At 37.7% G+C, this 11,241-nt stretch overlaps 1 annotated feature.

Annotated features, from left to right (window-relative positions):
• Positions 8,700–9,899: an enhancer, noted in NCBI's record as "P300/CBP strongly-dependent group 1 enhancer chr19:21022862-21024061 (GRCh37/hg19 assembly coordinates)". NCBI's record gives its function as "activates an origin of replication core promoter dependent on BRD2, BRD4, P300/CBP, MED14 and CDK7 cofactors, with strong dependence on P300/CBP, by STARR-seq in HCT116 cells {active_cell/tissue: HCT116}" and the evidence as "EXISTENCE:reporter gene assay evidence [ECO:0000049][PMID:35650434]".

Genomic DNA, 11,241 nt, shown 5'->3' on the forward strand with positions numbered 1-11,241 from the left:
AAATAAATACAATTATATGAAGAAAAAATAGAATGCCTGATTGGTTTTTTTATAAAGCAAACAATATGCTCCCTACAAGAGACTCATTTTAGCATTGATTCAAGTAGGCTGAAAGTAATAGAATAAAAAAAGTATATTCCATGAAAATAGTACCACAATTGAGTGAGGTGGTCATAATTATATTAGACATAATATGCTTTAAGTCAAGTACTGCCATGAGACAATGACTGATATTATATTATGATAAAGTGAGTTGATTTAGCAGGAATCTATAACTATTTATCTATCTGCATATGTGTATATAACATCAGAGCTTTAAAATATATAAAGCAAATATTGACAAAAGTGAAGCAAGACATACATAACAACATAATAATTGTAGACATCAAGACCCCATTTGCAGTAATAAATAGAAAATTAAGGTAAAAATAAGAAACAGAAAACTAAGACATTATAGACTATATTAACTATTTTGCATATAGAGGAATACTTGAGAGTGCATAATTTATAAAGAAAAAAGGTTTATTTGGCTCACAGTTTGGCAGACTGTATAAGTGTGTGCCAGCATCTGCTTCTGGTGAGGATTTCAGGAAGCTTAAAATCATGGTGGAAGGTAAAGAGTAACTGGACATATTATATGATAAGAGACAGAGCAAGTGTGAGGTGAAGGTGCCAGATTATTTTAGTGAACCAGTTTTCATTTGAATTAATAGAGTGTAAACTTTTTGGTTACCAAGAGGTTGTACGAAGCCATTCATGAGAAATTTTCCCCCCGTGACAAAAACATGTCCCACCAGGTCCCACAATCAACATTGAGGATTTACATTGCAGCTTGAAGTTTGGAGAACATGGACGTCCAAATAATATTATGAACGAACTAGGCTTCACAGACACATACAAAACTCTCCAGTGAAAACCAAGATAATACACAATATTCCTATTTGCACCTGATGCATTCTGTTAGGACACAGCAAGTTTTATTAAATTTAAAAATACTAACTGGGTGCAGTGGCTCTTGCCTATAATCCTAACACTTTGTGATACCAAGGTAAGAGGATCCATTGGTGCCAAATGTTTGAGACTAGCCTGGACAACATTGTGAGATCCTAAAACTACAAACAAGCAAACAATTATCCAGACATGGTAGTGCATGTCTGTAGTCCTAACTACTCAGAAAACTGAAGTGAAAGGATCTCTTGAGCCCAGGAGGCTGAGGCTATAGTGAGCCAAAATTATGCCACTGCACCGCAGCCTGGGATGCAAGATGTTGTCTCAAAACAACAACAAATTACGTTAAGAAGACTAAAATTATACATTGCGTGTTTTCTAACAAAAACTGAATGAAACTAGGAATTAAAAGCAAAAGTCAAACTGGCATATTCAAAACTATGTGAATATGAAACACACTCTTCAACATATTCTTGCTCTGTGTCAAAAAATGTCATTTTTCAAAGATGTCAATCCAACCTACAGTTAAAAGCTACAGAACATAAACAGTGTGATATTGACACAAAGATTAACAGATGAAAGAACAAAATAGAGTTCAGAAATGAACCCTTCTATATATGATCAAATGATCTTCCACAACGTTGCCATGAGCACAAAACAGAGAAAAATAATCTCTTCAAAAAATGATGTTGAAAACTGAATATCAAAACTGATAAAAAAGTTGGATTATTTCCTTGAATTAAAATATATTTTAAATAAAATGCTTGGACATAAAAAAACTAACAAATCTTTTAGAAAAACTACGGAAAAAAGACATGACATTGGTCTTGGCATCATTTTCTTAGCTACAAAATTAAATGCATGAGCAGCAAATGAAATAACAGAAAAGTTTAACTACACTAGACTTCAAAATTTCTGCATACCAAAAAACAATTCAAGAGTAACAACATCCCTTAGAAAACGGGTGAAAACATTTGCAAATCACATGTGAAAGAAGTTAATATTCAAAATATATAAACAACTCTTTAAACAATAAAATTGAATAACTTGATTTAGAAATGGACAAAAAATTTTTCATTAGACAAGTACACAAATGGGAAAAAGCATTTGAAAGGACACAAAAAATTACTAACTTGTAAAGAAATGAAAAAAAAAACAAAAAAACAAAAAAAACCACTGACAAACAAAATCACCTCACACCCATTAGGAGGACCACTACAAATATTTTTAAAAACATCAAATCTGTTGACGATGCAATAAAAGTGAAACCCATGTTAATTGTTGGTGGAAAACAAAGATGCAGCCATTATTTTAGAAAGTTACAAATGCTCCTCATTTATAAGTCTATATCCAAAATATGTAACAAAGGCCAGGTGCAGTGGCTCAAGCCTGTAATCCTAGCAATTTGGGAGTCCAAGGGGGGCAGATCAACTGAGATCAGGAGTTTGAGACCAACCTGATCCCTTCTCTACTAAAAATACAAAAAATTAGCTGGGCATCATGGTGGGAACTTGTAACCCCAGCTACTTGAAAGGCTGAAGCAGAAGAATTGCTTGAAACCAGGAGGCAGAGGTTGCAGTTAGCTGAGATCTCACCACTGTCAACAGCCTAGGCGACAGAGCAAGACTCCATCTGAAAAAAAAAAAAAAAAGCAACACAGGATATGGGAGGCATATTTGAAAATCCATTTTATTGCAGCAGTATTCACAAAAGCCAAAGGGCCGAAGCAATAACCCAGATGTCTCTTGATTTATAAACATATCAAAAAATGTAACCTATACATACAATAGAATATTATTCCACCTTCAAAAAAATCTTGTTACATTTTAAGATGAACATTGAGAATCTTATGTCACCTGAATTAATCTAGTAACAAAATTATGGATACTGTACCACTTATGTGAGATATCTTAAGTAGTCAAAATCATAAAAACAGAAAATGGAAGGTTTGTCAAAAGCTGGAGAGAGGGTAAAATGAGAAGTTGTTACTTAATGAGTACTGAGTTTTAGTTTTGCAAGATGTAAAGTTTCTAGAAGTCTTTTGCATAACAATGTAAATAAACTTAACATGCCTGAAATGAAAAGCTTTTTTTTTTTTTTTTTTGAGACAGGGTCACCCGAGCTGGAGTGTAGTGGCACAATTCAATCTCCCATGTAGCTGGGACCACAGCTTCACACCACCATACACGGCTATCATTAATTTTTTCTTTTTATAGAGAGGGGTCTCCCTATGTTTCCCAGGCTGGTCTCAAACTTTTGGGCTCCAGGGATCCTCCTGTCTTGGCCTCCCAAAATCTTGGGATTACAGATGAGAGCCACAACCATGCCTGGCCCTGAAGTATACACATCAATAAATTTAAGATGGTAAATATTATGTTATGTGTTTTTAAAACAATGTTTATAGAGAAAAACTTTAAAAAATCCAGAATTATAAATCTTTTTGGAAATTAACTTCAAATCACAAAAGTGTTTCTCTCACAAAAAGAAATATATATTAATCATTAAACACATGGTGAAAATAAGGCTATCTCCATGACTACTCAGACAAGATAAAATTACCATCGAAAATTAGCTGAGAGAATATGAAATAAGCCATAACTAAAATTTGGGTCATATTTATAGGTTAGCACACATACACATGTAATCCGGTTGTGATAGACATGCGCAATTTATTTCTTAGATAAAACTCATATTGACTTAAATATACAAACGGAATTGCAAATTGTCTAAAATTATAATACGTAAGTATAACCAATAGACACAATAAACTGATGTTGGGAAACCTACACCGAGGCTGGACTCGGTGGCTCATGACTATAATCCCAGCACTTTGGGAGGCTGAGGCAGGCGTATCACGAGGTCAGGAGTTTGAGACCAGCCTGGCCAATAAGGTGAAACACTGTCTCTAATAATAATACAAAAATTAGCTGGGCTTGGTGGCGTGCCTGTAGTCCCAGCTACTCAAGAGGCTGAGGCAGAAGAATGGCTTAAACTCGGAAGGCAGAAGTTGCTGTGAGCTGAGACTGTGCCACTGCACTTTAGCCTGGGTGACGGAGAGAGACTCCCTCTCAAAAAAAAAAAAAAAGTAATAAATAAATCTACACCGGAGAAACTCACTAACATAGAACTTCAAACAATAATAAGAGAAATGTTTGCTCATAAAATCTGGTATACTACATTGATGTATCATCAAACAAAATTTGTCAGGCAGGGTGTAGTGATTCATGCCTATAATCTCAGCACTTTGGGAGGCCAAGGGGGACAGATCACCTGAGGTCAAGAGTTTAAGACCACCCTGGCTAAAGTGGTAAAACCACATCTCTACTAAAAATACAAAAATTAGCTGGGCATGGTGGCACATACCTGTAATACCAGCTACTTGGGAGGCTGAGGCACAAGAATTGCTTGAACCCGGGAGGTGAATGTTGTAGTGAGCCAAGATCACCCGACGGCAATCCAGCCTGGGTGAGAAAGTGTAATTGCTTCTCAAAAAAAAAACAAAAAAAAAAAACTATGTAACTGCAATATTTAGCTGTTACTATGTACTCATCATATACAAATATTTTAAATCATTGGCATGCATTGTGTGGCAGTAAAATTTCAGAGAATATGCAGTATAATTATAAATAGAAGATTCTAAAGAGAAACAATAAATTAGCATTTTAAAGAAACTAGAGTTGCTTTTTATGTTTTAAATATATGCTATTGTTAAACAAAATGAAACTGCTGTAATCCAACTTTAAAAGGAAAGAATAGCCTTACGTTGTTAAGTACAGAAAAAGATATATATTTTGCAGAATATGGTTAGGCCCTCTCATATGTGAAACAAATATTAAGAAATAAACTATGTTATTATTTAGATATAGCCTGAAATAAGTAGATGAAAATCCTATAATTCCTTTTTGCCTGTATCAAACTTAAACTTATATGTAAATGTTTTAGTAAATATGGAGTGCCTATTAATTATCTAATTTACTTGAGGCATACCATGCAAATTCTAGCATATTGTCCTAAATATCTGAATCTAAAATTACAGAAAAATTTGAAATAGAAAATAGAAAGTAAAAATGTATAAGGAGAGTGACATCAGTAAGATAAAAAGATTAAAAGTGCCCTATTTTCATATTCCCTTACAGCAAAAAAAGTCAGCCATCCCTGACAAAAATGCCTTTATGAGAGAACAGGGCATTATTGCTCACATCTATAATGACAGCTTCATGGTACATTAGGTTGGAAAACTGCTTCAGGTGAGGATTTTGAGGCCAGCCTGGGTTATGTAGCAAGATGTCATCTCCCAAATAAGTGCCTCTAAGAGAGATGTGAGATGCAGGGACGCAGTTGTGAAACGATGTTAAAGCTTAAGTTTGAGAAGGATTCTATTCGGAAGGCAGGCCCTCATTCATGTGGGATACTGCAGGACTCCTGTTTTAGCTACAGACCAGGATAGGGTTCACCCAACTTGGTTCCACTGAGAATTCTAAACTTACTCTGTAACCATCCCAAACTCCTCCCAGCCACAGTCTGGCAGAGGTCCTGCTATTCCAGATACCTGGAGGAAGGTGCCCATTTACATCCATGCAGGCAGGCCTGCAGATCTGGGCCTTTACTGGGGTCACTGAGGCAGTTCAATGACTCAGTTTCAGTTACCCGAGCCACTGTTTATGGTCAGTTCTCCCTATATAGAAACCCACACAGTTACCTGAGGAAATGCTCTCTGGTACTCACTGAAAGCCATACTCATCAACATCCTGATACAAGGTCCACCATATGCAGACCGAACTGCAAAAACTTGCCCTAGTGTTTGCCCTATGGAGCAAAGCCCTGAAGGATATTCAGTCTGTCCAAAAATGAAATGGGAATTACAACTACCCAAGCCCCTGTAACAAGCCAACTAAAGGTGAACCCTAGTTCAGACCCAGCAGCCTTGTGACCAAGCTACAACCCCTCTTCACTACAAATTCAGAGGGCATCTCATCACCCTAAGGGCCCAACAAAAGATCTTTACCTTCTGAAATCAGTTTATGAAAATTTAAAGTGGTGTTTGCTCCATCAAATTCAGACACAAATACCAAACTATATTCTGTCCATTGTCAATGCTTCTACTTTAATGTAGCACTGGAAGTATGTGGCAGAAGAATTAGTCAAAGAAATTTTAAAAATCCATTAAAATTGAGGAAAAATAAATAAAAAATTGCTGCTTGTAGATCATATAATCTTATATTTAAAAACCCATAAAGAGTACATTCGAAGCTGTCTAAACTAATACATACACTCAGTAAATTAGCAAAATATAAAACTAACATACAAGCATATGTACGGTTTTATACACTTAAACTATCTGATAAAATAGAGGAAGAAAAAAATCTTATTTACTATAGCATTAAATAATAAATTTCTGAGAAAAAAATTAACCAAGGAAGTAAAAAATCTTTACTAAAAAAATGAAAAAATTAGAAAAGTTATAAATAAATTTTAAAATATTTTATGTCTATGGATTGAAAGTATAAATATTATTAAAGTGCCATATTATTCAAAGTGATCTATAGATTCAATAAACTTCCCATTAAAATTGCAATGGTATCTTTTTGACAGTAATGAAAAATACAATTCTGAAATTTACATGAAACTATAATAAGCTTTGAATTGCCAAAGCAATCTTGATGAAAAGAACAGAGCAGAAGTATAAGCAAAACTTATACTTTTGAAGTCTATTTCAAGATTATATAGTAATAAAAACAGAATGGACTGTGCAGAAGACTGAGCAAGAAAAATTCAACAGAAACTACTACTCTCACACATTTCAGACCTATGCAAAAAGAGAACTTTGAGAATAGTTTTAGTTTCTCAAAAAAAATCAGATATTTGTGTCCCCAAAACACTGGAAAAGAAGCCAGATTATGCAGCCTCTTATATGCTGTGAAGTGGACTTTGGCTCTCACTGTGAACTTGAAGGGAGCTCACTGAAAGAAAAGAAGAATTCTTAAAGAATTTAAAAGCATATGACAGAAGTGTCACTTTGTGAGAGAAAAATTAAAACAAAAACAAAAACAGCTGCCCAGGACTATTTCCTTTGGAACACAGCTTCCCAAAACACATTTTAAGGACTGGCTTTCTCTTTAACCTTGGGATCTCTTATCTGTGCCATCTGTTGCATTCGTTTTCACTCGCACCCACCTTGGTGTTTGGCAATCATCTCATGTCTCTTCATAGTTTTTTTTCTTATTCCAGACAGGTGATCAGGTCTGGCTTAGAGACAACAATAACTGTTTTATTAAAAATAAATAACATGAATCTTTCTCATATTCTCCAATTACAAGCTAGTAATGTGCTCAGCAGAGAGGATGTAATACAATATTCTGGTAAATTAATACCAAAATACTAACTTATAACAGAAATTTCTAAATATTTAGAAAATACTTTCAAACTGTAGGTTTCTTTTTCTTTATTTTTTAATTTTTTTTATTTTTTTGAGACCGAGTTTGGCTCTTGTTGCGCAGGCTGAAGTGCAATGGTGCGATCTCGGCTCAGTGAAACCTCTGCCTCCCGGGTTCTACCAATTATCCAGCCTCAGCCTCTGGAGTAGCTGGGATTTCACGTGTGTGCCACCATGCCTGGCTAATTTTGTATTTTTAGTAGAGATGGAGTTTCTCCATGTTGGTCGGGCTGGTCTCGAACTCCTGACCTCAGGTGATCTTCCTGCCTCAGCCTCACAAAGTGTTGGGATTATAGGCGTGAGCCACTGTGCCAGGTCCTGCACGTAGGTTTTTAAATTTTACTACCTGATACTACTGAATCAAAACTTGGTGCTGGCAGTTAGATTTTCAGGTGGGAGCAACCATATTTTATGCCAAAATTTCGGGAATTACCACAAATTTAGAGTGAAGAATACAGCTCAACTCAGGAATGTGGAAAGTTTGGATTAAGATGAAATATCTTGAAGAAATTCTTTTCTAAATGAAAAAATTCTGAAGATTTTCTGGGAAAAAAGCATTCTGAAACTCTTTGATGCAAAGAATAAATTACTAAAAAACACTCCACAAGAAAAGATAAATAAAACCTTCAGGGTATGTTACGAATTATGTATTAAGGTTATCCTCACCAAGAAAGACAAGGTTTCTGTAGTTCTCTAACATCATATCCCTATATAAATTTCACTGTGCAGTATCCAGACAATGACACTCCTTCAGAGAGAATTCTATGGCCACATCTCTAAATTGCAATGGCCCCTGAAACACACACACACACACACACACACACACACACATATTTTTACCAAGTGGCCGTGGGCGGAGTTGTTATTTTGACTTAAGGTGAAATTGGAAAGTAAAGAGAACTGGTTCTTACTTATAGGACTGACTAAAATTATCCAATAAAATAATTTTCAACACAGAAATATGCTCTAATGTATTCTTTAACTCTGAGAAAGAGGAGCAGCGTAAGATCCACAACATCATTACATATATGATATTTTTCTAGGTAACGAAGTATAAAATTAAGGGATTGAACATGAACATGTACATTTTTGAGGGCAACATCCACCTACTGGGCTCAAGTGATTCTCCTGCCTCAGCCTCCCGAATTCTGTTACTACAGGCTTGTACCACCATGCCTGGCTCATTTTTTTTTTTTTTTTGAATTTTTAGTACAGATGGGGTTGCACCATGTTAGCCAGGATGGTCTCAATCTCCTGACCTCGTGGTCCACCAGCCTCTCAAAGTATCGGGATTACAGGAGTGTGCCACTGCATCTGGCCACAAGCATTTTCTTAATCCTGCTCTGCATAGAGCTAATGGAACACACAGATGGAGCCTCAACATTACATGTTTTCCATCTTTACTAAGGACCACAGTTTTTCCCAAGAGAAATCTTGAGTATCCACACCTTCTCATGTTCAACAGCCATAAAGGGAACATTTTTAATATTGCATATTGGAAACAACTGCTCAGAGTTTCAGAGTAAGTGAGCACTCAAATCGAGAACGTTGAAGCAAGGCAAATTTACTTCTATACAAGGCTGCATCTCACAGGTGGAGAAATAGCAAGAGCACAATTGGACAAGGGAGGGGAAGGGGGTCTTATCCCTTACACCGCTAGTCCTTAGTGATGTGTCTTTCTCCTATTGGCTAGGGTTAGACCGCACAGTCTTAGCTAATTCCAATTAGCTATTTTAAAGAGAGCAAGGGTGGCGAGGTGAGTAGTTTCAGCAGGAAGGATGGTCACAAGGCATTTGACTGGGGGTGACTCAGAATAGAGCAGGTAACTAGGGATGATTCACAGCAGGTGACTAGGGGTGACTCAGAACAGATTAGGTGACTGGGGATGAGTAAGGACCCTAAATATGTGAGTTAGAAGGGGGTTGCTTACTGAAACTAGGGGCAAGGAGACATAAAGATTGAGGAATTTAAACATTAAAATGGAGAACAAAGAACAGGGAAGCTGATAATACTGAAATATTGGTTCTTTGAAGAGGACTTCAGAACTCATTGTACTTAACGATTTTCCTCTCTTGGATTTTAAAGGAAGTTAAGCTGAAACCTTTAAAGAGATATTTACTGTATCCTACATTTCAGATCATAAATTCTTGCTGAGAATTCTGCATGGCATATAAGAAGCTACGACATAGAAAATGTAGAGAAAGTTCTGGAATATAGGAAATAAATATTTTTCGGAGACCCTTGACTATCATAAGTATTTTAAGAAGAACTCAAACTGAGAATAGGGGGTGGAGCCAAGATGGCCGAATAGGAACAGCTCCAGTCTACAGCTCCCAGCATGAGCGACGCAGAAGACGGATTTCTGTATTTCCAACTGAGGTACCGGGTTCATCTCACAGGGGAGTGCTGGACAGTGGGTGCAGCACACACTGTGTGAGCCAAAGCAGGGCGAGGCATTGCCTCACCCAGGAAGCGCAAGGGGTCAGGGAATTCCCTTTCCTAGTCAAAGAAAGGGGTGACAGATGGCACCTGGAACATTGGGTCACTCCCACCCTAATACTGTGCTTTTCCAATGGGCTTCACAAACGGCAGGCCAGGAGATTATATCCCACACCTGGCTTGGAGGGCCCTACACCCACGGAGCCTCACTCATTGCTAGCACAGCAGTCTGAGATCAAACTGTAAGGCGGCAGTGAGGCTGGGGGAGGGGTGCCCGCCATTGCTCAGGCTTGAGTAGGTAAACAAAGCAGCCTGGAAGCTCGAACTGGGTGGAGCCCACCACAGCTCAAGGAGGCCTGCCTACCTCTGTAGGCTCAACCTCTGGGGGCAGGTCACAGACAAACAAAAGACAGCAATAACTTCTGCAGACTTAAATGTCCCTGTGTCACAGCTTTGAGGAGAGTAGTGGTTCTCCCAGCACACAGCTTGAGATCTGAGAATGGGCAAACTGCCTCCTCAAGTGGGTCCCTGACCCCTGAGTAGCCTAACTGGGAGGCACCCCCCAGTAGAGGCAGACTGACACCTCACATGGCCGGATACTCCTCTGAGACAAAACTTCCAGAGGAATGATCAGGCAGCAGCATTTGTGGTTCACCAATATCCACTGTTGTGCAGCCACCGCTGCTGACACCCAGCCAAACAGGGTCTGGAGTGGACCTCCAGTAAACTCCAACAGACCTGCATCTGAGGGTCCTGACTGTTAGAAGGAAAACTAACAAACAGAAAGGACATCCACACCAAAAACCCATCGGTACGTCACCATCATCAAAGACCAAAGGTAGATAAAAACACAAAGATGGGGAGAAAACAGAGCAGAAAAAATGGAAACTCTAAATATCAGAGCACCTCTCCTCCTCCAAAGGAACGCAGCTCCTAACCAGCAACAGAACAAAGCTGGATGGAGAATGACTTTGACTAAATGGGAGAGGAAGGCTTCAGAAGATCAAACCACTCCGAGCTAAAGGAGGAAGTTTGAACCCATGGCAAAGAAGTTAAGAACTTTGAAAAAAAATTAGATGAATGGATAACTGGAATAATCAATGCAGAGAAGTCCTTAAAGGACCTGATGAAGCTGAAAACCATAGCATGAGAACTACGTGACGAAGGCACAAGCCTCATTAACCAATGCAATCAACTGGAAGAAAGGGTATCAGTGATGGAAGATGAAATGAATGAAATGAAGCATGAAGAGAAGTTAAGAGAAAAAAGAATAAAAAGAAATGAACAAAGACTACAAGAAATATGGGACTATGTGAAAAGACCAAATCTACATCTGATTGGTGTACCTGAAAGTGACGGGGAGAATGGAAACAAGTTGGAAAGCACTCTGCAGGATATTATTCAGGAGAACTTCCCCAACC

This window comes from Homo sapiens, chromosome 19 (assembly GCF_000001405.40).
Source record: "Homo sapiens chromosome 19, GRCh38.p14 Primary Assembly".
Taxonomy (NCBI): domain Eukaryota; kingdom Metazoa; phylum Chordata; class Mammalia; order Primates; family Hominidae; genus Homo; species Homo sapiens.